The sequence below is a fragment of the Homo sapiens genome, chromosome 9 (genome assembly GCF_000001405.40).
Source record: "Homo sapiens chromosome 9, GRCh38.p14 Primary Assembly".
NCBI lineage: Eukaryota > Metazoa > Chordata > Mammalia > Primates > Hominidae > Homo > Homo sapiens.
The window spans coordinates 118,685,953-118,703,035 of NC_000009.12; the positions used below are offsets into that span (position 1 = coordinate 118,685,953).

Genomic DNA, 17,083 nt, shown 5'->3' on the forward strand with positions numbered 1-17,083 from the left:
GATGGTAGGACTGGAATGATGCATCTACAAGCCAACCATTGCCGACTACTGCTGGCAAACTCCCGGGAGGTAGGAAGGGGCAAGGAAGTATTTCCCTAAAAGTTTCAGAGGGTCCATGGCCCTGTCACTACCTTAATTTCAAACTTACAGCCTCTAGAACTGTGTAAAAACTAAACGTCTGTTGTTTAAGTCACTAGGTTTGTGGCACTTTGTTGTGGAAGCTCTAGGAAACTAACACATGATGTTACAAAGAGTAGAAGTTATCCTAGAAAAAGATGATGGGCCAGTGAAGAAAGATTAGGAGCAAGACAGAGAAACTGGTGAGGCTAGTTGGAAAGCCAGAAAGGTGACTTATATAGTGAGTACAGGGACGGTGGACTCAGATAGACAAACGGAAGACCTGTGAGATGTTTAGTCCAACAAACACCAGGATTCAGCCAGGATAATAATAACAATAATAATAAAATGATGGTGATGATAGTTAAGAACAAATATTTACTAACTGCTTGCTCTTTGCCAAATACTGAGATGAACATTTAATTCTGAATTATTTATTTTGTAAAACACACCTATAATGTAGCACTATTTTTTATATCTGCCATTATAAGGAAAGCAAGTTTATTTTTTCCTTTTTATTTCTTTTATTTTTTGAGACAGGATCTTGTCCTGTCACCCAGGCTGGAGAGCAGTTGCTCAGTCATGGCTCACTGCAGACTTGAACCCCTGAGCTCAAGCGATCCTCCTGCCTCAGCCTCCCAAGTACCTGGGATTACAGGCTCACATCACCATCTCCACTAATGAAAAGCAAGTTTTGAAGAAGGCTTGTCCAAAAACAAATGGAGATGGATTCTGACTGAATCAGATTTTCTCCAGAGCCTGTATTCAGAGCCACTATTTTAATCAGAATGAATAATATAGGGGTGAGAAAAAAGAATTAAGAAGATATTTATATGGATAAATTAAGAATTGCTAAAGCTTAGACAATTAGGTGAAGGAGAAATGGATGGTGTCATTCAAACAAAAAAGTGTTGAAGTTTGGAGCAGGTGCAGACCCATGAAGAAGGAAACTGAGTCTTTCTCTTTCAGGGACAACAAATTGCATCATGTCCCCACCCCTGAATGAGCCTGGTCATTTCCTCTGAATGTTGTCCCCATCCTGCTTCAGCCACTCCATGAATGACGTGCAGCTGCACTCCTTTCCCTGTGTTCCAGGAAAGCATCTGGAAATAAACAGCACTTAGCCCTGCTGCTGAGACAAAGGCATTGTTTCTTTAATAACACGTCTCTTTGGAAACCATCTCCAGACCTAATTCATAAGCCCGGCTGTGCTGACCCCGACGTGATGTAGCTTGCTCAGTTCTTCTGGGAAAAGGAGCATGTGTGAGATATAGTGGGCCCTAAAGAGAAAGCAAGTTGAGATTTGGAGGGGACTTTGGTCCCCTTAGAATGCAACAGGCAGGTACTTATTTAAGAATGCAGATGGTGAAACCCACAGTTTATTTAACTGTGTGTGTGTGTGTGTGTGTGTGTGTGTGTGTGTGTGTGTGTGTGTTTGCAAGCATGCTGTTACCTGGAAACCCAGGAGAAGTGAAACATCACCCCAATCAGTGTAATAATGACAGCATACTCTGAAATGACACCTGCTGATATTTATATCATACAGGTGACAGTGTTGGGAAGGTAGGAGGTACCGTTTATTGAGTACATGCTAGGCACATTGTTTATCCCATTTCCTGTATGCTTCAGTTAACTGCTGCAAAAAATATATATATATATATGAAAACATCAACCATGAAACCTCAGAGGCAAATAAAAAAACACTTGGATTTATTCATGAGGTTAGAGTCATCTGGTCAGTTCTACTGTTCTCAGCTGATCTTGGTGGGGCTTACTCAAGAGTGGTCAACAGTATTTGGGCCAGGCAGCTCTGCAGATCAGAGGAGGGTGCTTACATGTCTGGAGGCTTGACTGGGATGACCAGGCTGATTCAGCGCTGTTCCATTTGCCGCCTTCTTCAGCAGTCTGTCTTAGGCATGTTCTCATGGGGAAGGCTGAGAAGTAAAAGAGGAAGCATTAACACATGAGGACATTTTGGAGTCTCTCCTTGTATGACATTTTCTATGTCTTCATTGACCAAAGAAAGTTAAAGGGCCAAGGTAGAAGTCAGCATGGGAGGTGTGATGGTTAATACTGAGTGTCAACTTCATTGGATTGAAGGATGCAAAGTATTGTTCCTGGGTGTGTCTGTGAGGGTGTTGCCAAAAGAGATTAACATTTGAGTCAGTGGACTGGGAGAGGCAGACCCACCCTCATTCTGGGTGGGCACCATCTAATCAGCTGCCAGCACAGCCAGAATAAAAAGCAGGCAGAAGAATGTGGAGAGATTAGACTGGCTTAGCCTCCCAGCTTCCATCTTTCTCCCATGCTGGATGCTTCCTTGCTGGATGCATCCTCCCACGCTGCCCTTGAACATTGGACTCCAAGTGCTTCAGCTTTGGCGCTCGGACTGGCTTCCTTGCTCCTCAGCTTACTGATGGCCTATTGTGAGACCTTGTGTTCGTGTGAGTTAATACTCCTTAATAAGCTTGCCTTTATATATACATCTATCCTATTAGTTCTGTCCTTCTAGAGAACTCTGATTAATACAGGAGGGAACAAAAGGTTACAGAGTGGGTCCAGACACCAGGGGCTGTGGATACAAAGATGTCTTTAGTGGGATCATTGATGCAATCAAGCTACTGCTGTATAGTTTTCCAATCAATCCTTATAGAAATTATGACCATTTTAGAAATAAGAAGCTCAGAAGCCATTTAATGTCGTTATTTAACACCACACAGCTAGGATGTTGGAGAGCTGGCACTTGAGGTCATGATAATGCTTGTCTGTCTCTCTGTTTGAATATTTGTTTGTCTGGTTCCATTAAATGATAGGAAACTATGATCTGACAGAATGAGGGTAGAGACACTTGAAAGCAGGGGATACCAAGCCAGTGTGATGACCTGTAACTCAAGTGTTAGTTACGTCGGATTTGGTTAAATGTCATCTCCATACCCTAAGGTACTTCCAGAGCACCCTATGCTTCTTCGTAATACTCTTCATATCTGTACATATTTGTTTCATTGTCTGTTTTCCCTCTAGAGTGAGGATTAGCCAACTTTTTCTAGATATGGCTGGATAATACATATCATAGGCTTTGTGGGCCATGCAGTGTGTGTTGTTATTACTCCACTCTACCCCTTTACCATAGAAGCAGCATTGAAAATAAATGAATGAATTTTTTTTTATAACACATGCCTGTATTATAGAAAACTATAAAAACAGGTGGTGGACTGAATTTGATTCATGGGCCATCAATTGCTGACCCTTGTTCTAAGGTATAAACTCCACATGTTGTTTTCTCCTGGATTCCTGGCATCAGCATAACAATGGCACATAGTGGGTATAAAATAGATATTTGTTCCACAAATCAAGAAGTGTAGTCTTACAGGCTAGGCCATTCTTGGACAATGGATGTGGAATGTCTATGATTTGCCGATGTCAGCACTTAAACTTAGGACTGTTATCACAACCTTACCATTCATGGAATCAAGGCTGCAGCATCATTACCCAGACAAGTTTTGTTTAGAAACTGTAGTAGACCTAAACCTCACCTTAGGGGCCATAAAAAAAGTAAAGATAAGGACATCTAGAGAGAGCCTGAGTTGGGAAATCTAGCATAGATTTCAGCTTGTCTGGATGTCTAAGTAGTCAACTTTATTGTATTTCCATAACTGTCATAAAACATACTATAAGCTCAGTGACTTAAATTAACACAAACATGTTATTCTACAGTTTATAGGTCAGAAGTGTGATATGATTTTCACTGGGTTAAAATCAAGAAGTCAGGAAGGCTGTATTCCTATCTGGATCTAGCAGAACATCTGTCTCCTTGCTTTTTCCAGCTTCTAGAGACCACTTAACTTCTTAGTTTATGGCTCCCTTCTTCTATCTTCAAAGCCAATGATACTGCATCTTTCTGACCATTCTTCCATAGTCACAACTCTTTCTTATCACAGTCAGCAAATATTCTCTACTTTTAAGAACCCATGTAATTAGATTCGACCTACCCAGATAAGAATCTGACATTCAATCAAAGGATATGATTTAAACATTTTCTACAAATATGTAGTTACTAAAAAAATCTTACTTTCTGAAGATGCAGTGGTATTGGAATTATCATTATTGATTGTTTGCTTTTTGTTAAATATTATCCTTCCCTTGCAGAATCTAGGGTTATAAATCCCTACATTCTCTCTCAAGAGAGCTCCCTGACCCTTCCCTTTCCTAACAAAATAAACCAGATGTAGCACAACAGTACTGAAAATGTTGACTAGAAGAAGGAAGAGTAACTGGAATCCACCGCTTTCAAAATACAGACCTCAGTGAGTTGAATGCAGTGGTGCTGGCAGGCTGAGCCTAGATAATTCCTGAGTCTCGAGATTTCTTAGCTGCAGACTGTGAGCTGCAAATAAGCCCAGTGCTTATACTGATGATTCCCTAGAGGTAGAAGAGGCTGCATAGACATGAACTAGGATAGACAGAAATCAGAACTTATTTGATTGTATAAAATTTCCTAGAATTAACAAGAAATATTGAATGAAGACATTCAATATTTGCCTTGATGTTCTTGATGCATTACCTACGGTTTTGAATTTAATGTAGAAAGCCATGGTATTATAGGAATAAGAGAGGAGATACCATTTGGAATTTAATTCCTAAGAAAGCTGGAATATTTTTTAAATCAAGAAAAACTGGGTTACTCTGCTTAAGTCTCAGTTTCTGCCTTTATTATGACTGGTTTTTTATTATCTCTACTGGCCTCCGTGGGTCTTAGTTCCTTCAATTATCAAATAAGAATGATACCAATACTTACCTCATAGATTTGCTATAAAAATTAAATTATGTCTGTTAAGTATTTAGCATCAAATCGTTTTTCATTAAATATTGGTAATTCCAATTACATATTAATTAAAAGAACACAGGGTACCAGGTTAGCATAAGAGTGCATCAAATTCAGACATTCAGGTTTCCCAGGGGTAGCTTGAAGGTATTTGCATTATGAAAGTAAGCCACAGAAGAAAAGAGCTGAGAAAGTGGAGTGAGCACATTGATAAACAGTTCTACATGGAAGCAATTTCAGCTTGAGAACCCTTAGGCTGTCTTCTCTCTCTTTGGTTGACTATCAAATACCAGAGATATGGCTTCTTACAGCAACAGACAGAGACAAATTATGCTCTGGATGAGGTAGGGTTTTCTTTAACTACAGTTGAAGTCAAGGTGGGTCAACTTACTGTCAGAATAAAGCCCAAGAAGGCTTGATATATTTAAAGTAAAAGACAAATTGCAGCATGTGTGTGCACACGTGTGTGTGCATGCATGTGTGCAAAAATACATGCATGCATGTGTGTATACAGTCCAAGTAAATCAGATTTATTCGTCGAAGATAAATCCTGCCCTATCTTTCCTTTCTAGTATTTATTAAGTCAAACAGGCACTTTTCCAACTCACTTCATTCTCCATTGCCCATTTATCCCACTTATTGTATCTTTAGGGGATCTCCAGAGAGCACCCACCAATTGTGTCGATCATGCCTAGGGCTGCACAACTGTCTGTTAAGAACGTGATACCATAAACTCCATTCAGATCCATTACAAAGTACTTCTTTCTTCTAAATGAGTTCTGGTGGTAACTGGTTTGAACAAGCAGCTTAGAGAGGTATTTAGCCAATTTTTGAGATTTAAACTTGAAACAATAAAATAAAGCATAAAAAAACTTCCTGAATTAAAATAGTATACTTTTGGCACACACTCTAAAAATTTATCAAATCAATTAACACATTTTTATTTGTAATAGTTCTTAGAATTTTATAGTGTTTTTCTCATAAACATAAACCTAACTGAAGAGAAAAATAATCCCAACTCTAGGTAAGACAGATGCAATTATACACATTTAACAAATGAAAAAAATTATAACCATACCTATCTAAATATTCAGAGGCTACTTTGTACTGACTTTATTTTTTTCTAAACTCACCTCCTCTATATATTACTCTCATGAGACCAAGACAACTTAAGAATTGAATTCAGGACACTGGAGCTGTAATTACAACCCTTGTAGTTATTTCATAAGTTAGTTTCACTGTAAGAAGGGGTTATCAATGGCTGTCAATTTAGGTGGTAAATCTCTCCCAAATGCATCTGGAAATGCATAAGGGTGCCTTCTCCATAGTTATGCTACTACTATTCAATAGGAAATTAATATTGGGGAACCAAAAATTCTAAATTCTCTGCAATGAATGACTTGTACAGTACAAGCTAGAATCACCCTGCTAAATTTGCCAAAGTCTCACTCAGTGAGAATCTTTGGGGTAGGTCATGCATATGGTGATTTGGAGTGCTGATATGCAACTCTGTGACTTGAGCACTCGCTTTTAACAACAGGGAAAAGGATTACTTCATAAACTGCACCGATAAGATACAAGAAAAAGGTCAGGGTGTGAAGTCCAAAGAAAATGCATACTCAGAATAGACTCTTGAGAAAGGTGTTAATTGTAAGGTTCACAGAGGTCAATCCCACATGTTAACACTGGTAGATGTTAATTAGCACATTCAAATTTCATGAGAATTTTACTGCCAATGCTACTCTGAGTTTTGTTAGTTTGGTGGAGTGTATGTGTCCAGAAAGTAACAGTTAGTAGAATAGCTGGGAGGGGAGGGCTTGTTGAAATCCTACAATGCACCTACTGAAACATTTCATGGGAGCCCTCTGTAACTATGGCATCGTGGAAGAACCAAGCACTACAGTCTCCATAGTAAGAGGCAGTGAATTGAAAAGAGTGATTTAGGGCCTGTTCACACAAATGAGAGAAGACAGCCTGCCCTATGTGCGACAGCCTCTCTACAAAGTTTAGACAAGGCAAACATGTTTCTTTTCTCTCTGTCATCCTCTCTCTGCAGCCAGCAGACGAGTATTTCATAGTGGAATAATTCAAAGTGAAAGAACCCATGGGTAATGCACCAACAGTCATCGAACGTTCCTTAAACCACTTGATCTCACTGGAGCATCCACATGCCATATCTGCCCTTTTGTAGACAAATTTCAGGCATTCAATTGCATTTAAATCTTTCTCTCCATCCTATCTTTCTCTGTCCCTAGATCCTGATAGGATTATCTAGCAATGGGCAAGCCACTAGCATAAGTTTTAAAAAAGTCTCTTTCACATTCTGCTTCAGTGCTGAAGTCAGAATCTGACCAGTCTAACACTTAGAATTTCATATCCCTTTATTCATCAAGGCCTAAGAAGTTGTACATATAGTTAAAGATGTTGCAGCCAAATGCCTTCGCCACAAAAGTAAACTTTTAAAATAAATGATATTGACATGTATTATAACACTTAAATATGTATTGCGAAAACATATGGCATACAAGACATTGTGCATATTAGGTCTTCAACAAATGCCTTGGCAATAAATAAAATTTATTTTAATTTATGCTTTATTTGACCAGTAAGTAATGAGCTAAGAAAGAAATATCATAGGTTAAGTAATACAGGAAAATTTGAACACCCAAAACTTATGAAGAAACATCTTTCTAAATGATGGGAATCAAGCATTATATCTGTTTGTATTACTTAAAACATTTCCAATTATGGAGGGAAAACAATGAATAAAATTGTCATATTTTAATGCTATGACATGTACTCTACTTTTAATCTATATGCATTCAGTTTTCTATTACACATTCCATACTGGCTCATGTGGTTGGTAAAAATCAAATTCTATTTGGATTCTTGGACAAGCCATTAATGCCTTGCCATACCCACAGAAAATCACATTCAGCACCATGGACAACACAGAATTGCTCTTTTCTGAACCACAGCTGTTTGCTGAATGATTTTTTTTCTCCTACTAAAACATCCAGACACACGTCTGTCTCTTAATTGCAGGAAGGGTTGTTACAAGACATCTTGAATTTTAACAACCGATTTTAAAATGAAGAAAATGCACTAAAAAGAGGACTAGGGAAAATCTTAATTACTTTTGCAGAATTCAAAAATTGACACCCCAGAAAGTATAAAAAGACCTTCTGAAGCAGACATTGATATTATACAGATGAAAAAAATGAGGGGTGGGGGCAGGTAATTATCAATGACTAACAAATAGAAGATATTAGAGGAGGTACTCAGACAATTATGAAAGAATGGGAAAATGAGACTGACAGTGTTGTCATTGTAAATGCATCAAGGCACATTGGAGGAAGTAAAATTTACATATGGGGTAGCAAAAATAGTTTTGAGAATTTGGTCTCATAAGGGAAGAAGGAGCCCCCTTTTGTCTTCTAATACAAAAATCATAAACAGTAGCAAAATTGTGGTCAGTTCTTCAGTTTTTATTAAAGAGACAGGAGGTAAAGGACAACTAAATAGTAGAATTTCTTCGTGAATAATGCCTTAGACATAGTAATTACAAAATATTTCAGATTAGTATGTGACAAACATACAATCTTGATTTAAAAATGTGTGATGTTCACTTTCTCTATCCATTCCCTGAGGATAAGGTAGTCACTTGTTTTTAGATTTCTGTTGATTTCTTTATGAACACATACATTTGTCAAATATTTATTAAATGCCTCCTATATTTTAGGAAATTTGATAGGTAAGTCCACAAGAGTGTCCAAGGCATAGTGCATATCCTATAGAAACTCAGCTGTTGGGAAAATGCAGACAATCATGTTGGTCAAGAGCAACACATTCTCATGGCAGAAGGTAAATAAATACTGGTTTTCTTCTGATTTTTGTTTGCATGCATTATGTACAAAATATATACTGTGCTTAGTTTCATTGAATTCTATAACCTCCTTCTGTACACCTGAGTAGCTTTTTAATGTCTGTAAAGTTAAAAGTCCCTCTCCCTGTTACAACAGAATTGATTTCTCTTTCCTGCTTTCTGCTAAGAATAATATGGCACCCTGCTTTCTGCTAAGAATAATATGTTTGTTATTGTTTATTTTATATTTAATATGTTTAGATATGCTTTTTTATCATATAAATATACGATGAGGAATTGTTAAGAGAAAAGATGATCAACTGAGGAAGAAGCTTTAATTTTTATTAAAATATAAAATACTGCAAAATATTTTTAAAGTTTATTAATTAAGCAATTCCTTCCAGATAATTTGTGCTTTTTATGAAGTCTAAAAACCTTAAATTCAAAATAATTGCTGTGATTTTATAAATAGTTGCTATTATAGTGGTACTGTATGAGGACGTTCTTGCATTGCTATTAAAGAAATACCTGAGGCCGGGTGCAGTGGCTCACGCCTGTGATCCCAGCACTTTCGGAGGCCGAGACGGGCGGATCACAAGGTCAGGAGATCAAGACTATCCTGGCTAACACAGTGAAACCCCGTCTGTACTAAAAAATACAAAAAAATTAGCCGGGCGTGCGGGCGCCTGTAGTCCCAGCTACTTGGAAGGCTGAGGCAGGAGAATGGCGTGAACCCGGGAGACGGAGCTTTCGGCGAGCCGAGATCACGCCACTGCACTCTAGCCTGGGCGACAGAGCGAAACATCGTCTCAAACAAACAAACAAACAAACAAAAACACCTGAGACGGGGTAATTTATAAAGAAAAGAGGTTTAATTGGCTGTTAAACCTACAGAAAACCTACAGAACCTACAGAAAAGAGGTTCTGTAGGCTTTATAGAAAGCATGATGCTGGCATCTGCTTGGCTTCCGGTGAAGCCCTGGGGAGCTTTCAATCATGGCAGAAGGTGAGGGCAACAGGCACATCACTTGTTGAAAGAAGCAGCAAGAGACAGTGAGGGCGAGAGATGTCATACACTTTTAAACAACCAGATTTCCTGTGAACTCAGAGCAAGAGCTTGCTTATCACCAAGAGGATGGCCCAAGCCATTCATGAGGGATCCACCCCCATGATCCAAACACCTCTCACTATGCCCCACTTCCAGCATTGGAGATTGTATTTCAAAATGAGATTTGAGTGAGGACAAATATCCAAACTATATCAGGTTGTAACAGGTAATAAAAAATACCCTGTGACCACTATGTGCAATGTATTATATTATGTGCTTTACTTGCTCTATCTTATTTAATTTTTATTTAATCATCACACTTTGTGAGGCACATATTTTTCTATTTTTATGTCATAAATATGAGAACTGGGTCTTATAGAAGTTATATAATTTACCCAAAGTCAAACAGTTGGTAAATGTCTCAGTCCATCAGGGCAATGAGAAAAATATACTTTAGGCTAGATAATTCATAAACAATAGAAATTTTTCTCATTGGTCTATTGGCTGTAGAGTTCAAGGTCAAGGTTTTGGTAGATTTGGTGTCTGGAAAGAACTTGCTTTCTGCTTCAACATGGAACTGTCTTGCTGAGTCCTCTGGAGGAGAAGAGATAAACACTGTGTCCTCAAATGGCAGAGGGGCAAAAAGAAACAAACTCACTTCCTCAAGCCCTTTTAAAGGGGGCTAGTCCCATCCATGAGGGCTTTGCCATCATGGCTTCATCATCTCTCAAAGGCTCACTTCTGAATACCAACACCTTTGGGTTTAAGTTCTAACACAGGAATTTTAAAAAGACGCATCCATTCAAACCATAGTGGTATGGATTTTTTTAAAATTATTATTAAAGACTTTATTTATTCGATCAATTTTAGATTCCCAGCAAAATTGAGATGAAGGTGTACAGATTTCCCACATATCCCTTGACCCCACACGTGTATGGCCTCCCTCATTATCAACACTTGCTGCCAGAGTGGTACATTGATGACAATTAAACTGTCGTTGACACCATGAACATTCAAAGTTCATAGTGTATATTAGGGTTTAATATTAGTGTTGTACATTATATGGGTTTGAACAAATGTATAATGACATGTATTTACAATTCTAATATCATACAGATCATTTATGTTATCTGCCCTAAAAATCACCTGTGCTCTGCCTATTTTTCCTTTCCACTGTCCAACCACCACAACCACTTATCTTTTTACTGTTTCCATGGTTTTACATTCTCCAGAATGTCATATTGTTGGAATCATATAGTATGCAGCCTTTTCATCTTGGTTTCTTTCACTTAGTAATATGCATTTAAGATTTGTATTAGGATTCTCTAAAGAGACAGGACTAATAGGATAAATGTATACACAAAGGAGAGTTTATTAAGGAGTATTGACTCATATGATCACAAGCTCAAGTCCCACAATAGGCCATCTGCAAACTGAGGAGCAAGGAAGCTAGTCTGAGTCCCAAAACCTCAAAGGTAGGAAAGCCAACAGTGCAGCCTTCAGTGAGTGGCTGAAGGCTGGAGAGCCCCTGGCAAACCACTGGTGTAGGTCCAAGTGTCCAAAAGCTGAACAACTTGGAGTCCGATGTTTGAGGACAGGAAGCATCCAGCACGGGAGAAAGATGGAGGCCAGAAGACTTAGCCAGTATAGTCCTTCCACATTTCTCTGCCTGTTTTTATCCTAGCTGCACTGGCAGCTAATTAGATGGTTCCCACCCAGATTGAGGATGGGTCTGGCTGTCCTAGTTCACTGACTCAAATGTTAATCTCCTTTGGCAACACCCTCACAGACACACCCAGGAACAATGTGTGTCAAGTTGACACACAATACTAACCATCACAAGGGTCTTCCATGTCTTTTCATAGCTTGATAGCTCATTTATTTTTTAGCATTGAATAATATTCCATTATCTAAGTGTACCACAGATATAACCCCCAAAATGAAATACTTAGGTGTAAATCTAATAAATATGTATGTGATCTATATGAGGAAAACTACAAAAATTGGAGAAAAGAAATCAGAGAACTAAATAAATGGAGAAATATTTTATGTTCATGGATAGGACAATTCAATATGGTCAAGATGTCAGTTCTTCCAAATTTGATCTATAGATTCAACGCAATTCCACTTAAAATTCCAGTAAGTTATTTTGTAGATATTGACCAACTGATTCTCAAGCTTAGATGGAGAGGGAAAACACACAGAATAGCTGATCCAATATTGAGTGAGAACAAACTTGGAGGACTGATACTACCTAACTTCAAGTCTTACCATGAAGTGACTTTAGTCAAGGCTGTGCAGTATTTATGAAATAGATAAATAGACCAGTGGAACAGAAAAGAGAGCTCTTAGTCAACTGGTTCTTGAACAGAGGAGCAAAGGCAATACGATGGAACAGAACAAAAATAATGTTCTCAACAAATGGTGCTGGAACAACTGGACATCCACATGCCAAAAGAAAAAAAAAAGGAGACAAACTCTCCCCCTCAAGCCCTTTTATGAGATCACTAATCCCATCCATGAGGGCTTTGCTGTCATGGCTTAATCATCTCTCAAAGACTCACTTCTGAATACCTATACCTTTGGGTTTAAGGTTAAGACCTAACCATTTTCACAAAAATTGACTCAAAATGGATCATATACCTAAGTGTAAAGTCAAAACTTGAAAACTACTAGAAGATATCATAGAAGAAAATTTAGATGTCCTTGGATATGAGGGTAGCTTTTGAAATACAACACACAAAGCACAATTCATGAAAGAAATAATAGACAATCTGAATTTTATTAAAATTAAGAACTTTTGCTCTGCAAAAGATGTAAAGAAAATGAGAAGACAAGCCACAGACTAGAAGAAAATATTTGCAAAAGACACATCTGATAAAAGATTCTTATCCAAAATATACAAAGAACTCTTAAAACTCAAAAGTAAAATAAAAAAAAAATTAAAAATGGGCTGAAGACCTTAACAGATACCTCACCAAAGAGGATATAGAGATAGCAAGTAAACATATGAAAAGATATTCCACATCATATGCAAATTAAAACAACAATGAGTTACCACAACACATCTATTAGAATGACCAATAGCCAGAACACAGATAATACCAAATGCTGTTGGGGATGTGGAGTAACAGGAACTGTCATTCATTCCTACTGGAAATGCAAAATGGTACAGACACTTTGAAAGAGAGTTTGGGAGTGTCTTACAAAACTAAACATACTCTCACCATATGATTCAGCAATTGTGTTTTTATATATTTACCCAAAGGAGATGAAAACATCCCCACAAAAATCTGCACATGAATGCATAAACTTTATTCAGAATTGAAGTGGGGAGCAATCAAGATGTCCTTCAGTAGAGGAATGAATAAATAAATTGTGGCATTTGTGTGTTTTAACAAATACTCTTGTAAATTATATTTACTATTTGTCAAGAATTGTTTTAAATAATTTATAAGTATAAAATTTCTTATTTTGTTAGTATTGTTGTTATAGTCATTTTTTTTTTTTTTAAGACGGAGTGTCGCTCTGTCACCAGGCTGCAGTGCAGTGGAGCGATCTCAGCTCGCCGCAACCTCTGACTTCCTGGTTCTTGCCATTCTCCTGCCTCACCCTCCCAAGTAGCTGGGATTACAGGCATGCGCCACAATGCCTAGCTAATTTTCTGTATTTTTAGTAGAGATGGGGTTTCACCATGTTGGCCAGGATGGTCTTGATCTCCTGACCTCATGATCCGCAAACCTTGGCCTCCCTATAGGCATCTTATAGATGTGTTACAGTCATCTTATTGAAGTATAAGAGTTATACTTCTATACATCTATACAGCTATACTTCTACACATCTTATAGAAGTGTAAGTCTTACACTTCAATAAGATGACTATTGTTGTTATAGTCATCTTATAGAAGCAACATAAGGTTTAGTTAACTTCCCTAAGACACCATATTTGTGAAAAGATGAAACTGAAACTCAAATCCAGGCAGCCTCTCTTCAAAGCTCATTCATAGTCTTAACCAACATCCTAAGCCTTCTGGAAAGGTTGTTTTAAATAATCTCTTAAACTATATCTGTTAACTAATTATTTATTGTTTATATCCATCCTATATATCTATTTAATTTTGAGGACTTTGAACCGTTACTTTACCATTATGTATAATACATTTTCTGTCACATCAAATTCTCATTTTTTTTTAGAAATTTGCAAATTCACTTCATTGCTTTCAAAAGGATTTGGATTCTCAGGCCGAATTGTCCTGAAATCAAAAGTGCAGTTGACACAGTTTTGCCTCTCATCCTGAGCATCCTTGTCCACCATTAAAATGTAAGTCTTTTCACCCATCTCTACTCTTCCAACACAGACACACATATAGTTACACATCCTACCTTAATCTTTCATTTAAAATCTATGCTTCCTAGTTTCTGAAAATTTCCTTGACCTTTATTTCTGTGCCAGTTATAACCTAATCACCATTATAAATGCCTCCTTTATATCAGGAACCTTGTCACCAAATGTTCCTTCTCCTCTTGTCTTTATAAAGCTAAGTCTCCTCTGACAACTCTTTCTTGAAGCTTGCTTATTCTTTCCCACCTCATGGTCTCTGAGGTTATGTCATAATTCTCTAGTTTGTCTTTGCTTCTATTACAAATATTTTTCATGCACTCATGTAAAAAAAAAAGCTCCTCTTTGTGTTTCATAATCTCCAACTGTACATTTTGTTGAATTATGGACCACTTTTACTATCTTAGGTGAGAAGTTGTCCCATTTCTTTTATCTTTTTTTTTTTAACATAGGGTCTCAGCTCTGTCACCCAGGATGGAGTGCAGTGCTGTGATAATGGCTCACTGCAGCCTCAACCTCCAGGGCTCAGGCACTTCTTCCACATTAGCTCCCTGACTAGCTGGGAGTACAGGTGCACAGCACCATACCTGGCTATTTTTTATTTTTTATAGAGATGGGTTCTCATTATGTTACCTATCTGGAGTTATGTTACACAACTCCAAGGCTCAAGGGATCCTCTCATCTCAGCCTCCCAAAACGTTGGGATTACAGGTGTGAGCCACCATGCCTGGCCCAGAAATAATGGTTTTTAAACAATATTTGAGTTTCTAGTTATAAATTCCAAAGTCTCACAATATTTCCGTGGACCTTTGAATAGAACACTTGAGCACTAAGCACCCCTTGTCACTCATTAATGTCATATATTGAACACTGTTTCATTGCACACACTTTTTTAGGACCTGAATTCCTGTTTTCCTTTGAACTTGCCTCCCACCTTCAACACAAGTACACTAAAACAACCAATACAATTTCAGTACAGCCACACTACATTAAGCATGTCTTGATCTGCTTCACATAGCCTTCAAAAACACTTCCTTAAGCAACCCACATTAGACCATCACAATATCCAACAATACCGACATCAAATACTTATTGATCTCCAATTATATATGGGAGATATGTCAATAATAACATTTATTGATGCAAAATAAGACAAGCAGCTTAAATTTATTAATTCTTAATCCTCATCATGATTTCTATTACATTTTCTAGTTTTGAATGAAGAAGTTAAGCCCAGATTGGTTAAATTATCTGTCAAAGTTTATACACCTATTTATAGAATGAAAGTTGGAACTTAAACCCAGAAAACATGGCTGTTGGGCCCATGTTCTCAAATGTCAGTGTTATACAAGCTTTGATTCTTAGCCCAAGGAAACATGTGGTTTAATGGTAAATTCAGATAAGTAGAGAAGTCAATTATGCGAGATAAATAAACAATCTAATCACCATTCAGGGTACTTGTAGGGCAATATGCCTAATACAGCCTAAAAGATAGAAGGCAATCAGAAATATTATTTACTTTTCTCTCCACATTCTTCAGAGCACTCCACAGGATAATTAACTGAGAAAAAAAAAGGAACTATCAGTAACTACTTGGACACTGAAGTATGGATTTTGGGTGTTGAAGATTTTTGATGTGCATATTTTAGATCTTCAACGCTATGTGCAGAGATTTATACACACTATATAATATCTCTGCCAGATTGAAATTTCTCATCCAACCCCATTTGTTGAGAATCTGAAACACTGAGAATGTTTTCTTTGACAAAATCCCAACAGCTCTTAAATTACCTATCCTCAAGGAAAGTGAAATAGAAGGGACACATTGGAGGCATGAAGGAGAAATATCACTTTGAGAGACAGAATCCCCAGGGACATTGGGCTGCTCTCCTAAAATGAATGCATCAGCCCCTTGCAATGCTCCTTTTGCTAACATCATGTATTGTTTACTCTGCTCTTTTATTCCTTGTCCCTGGGAGGAAATTTGGTATTGTGCTTACCTTTTAAATGATTTCAAAACTTCTATTCACTAGTACTCTTAACTGTTCCACCTACTACTGCCTGATGTGTCATCTGTAAGTACCACTCTATGCTGCCACTTTTTTTCTCACAGGCTCTCTAAGACTTCAGAATACATACAGAAAATAAAACTACTTAGCCTGGCATTCAAAGCCCAGAAAATCTGAAGCCTTCCTATATTTTCCAAATGTTCCAACATAACAGAATATAAATTTACCACAGAAGCTAGACTTGCCTACTCATTTGTTTCCATCTTTCTTTACATTGTTTGACCAATCGAATTAACAAAGCTTAAAGCCTTTTCTTTTTTTTTTTTTTTTTTTTTTTTGAGACGGAGTCTCGCTCTGTCACCCAGGCTGGAGTGCAGTGGCGCAATCTCAGCTCACTGCAACCTTTGCCTCCCAGCTTCAAGCAATTCTCCTGCCTCAGTCTCCCGAGTAGCTGGAACTACAGGTGCATGCCACCATGCCTGGCTAATTTTTTTAATTTTTTACTTTTAGTACGGTCGGAGTTTCACCGTGTTAACCAGGATGGTCTCCATCTCCTGACTTCATGATCTGCCCTCCTTGGCCTCCCAAAGTAGTGGGATTACAGGCATGAGCCACCATACCTGGCCTGTTTCCATCTTTTCTTTACATTGTTTGACCAATCATATTACCAAAGCTTAAAGGCTATTTTTGTTGTTGTTGGTAATACTATCTTTCTACATAGACATCAAATCTCAACCATTCCTTAAATATCGCAAATTAAGATTCCCAGAGCTACAGTCTGAATTACAGATTCCTCTACATAACTGCCTTGTTCATATTTCCACTTCCATGATACTTGCTATTTGCTCTAAGCTTTGTTACTTTAACTCTCTTTACTTTGGTTT

General features: G+C 37.7%; 2 long non-coding RNA genes across 8 annotated transcripts in view; one reads left to right on the top strand and one right to left on the bottom strand.

Moving 5' to 3' along the window:
- The window catches only part of LOC102724929 (uncharacterized), an 88,452-nt gene that overhangs the window by 41,646 nt on the left and 29,723 nt on the right, over positions 1-17,083 (bottom strand). For 5 of the 7 annotated variants that reach the window (XR_428592.5, XR_930302.4, XR_930298.4 and 2 more), the window contains one exon: positions 1,811-2,051. This is a non-coding gene — a long non-coding RNA (uncharacterized LOC102724929). Of the gene's footprint in view, positions 1-1,810; positions 2,052-15,709; positions 15,752-17,083 lie in introns of those variants that run through there. The other 2 variants (XR_007061892.1, XR_930303.3) reach the window with 2 other exon arrangements.
- LINC02578 (long intergenic non-protein coding RNA 2578) overlaps positions 1-17,083 on the top strand; it is a 65,642-nt gene that overhangs the window by 6,282 nt on the left and 42,277 nt on the right. The gene's annotated exons all lie outside the window — the stretch shown is intronic.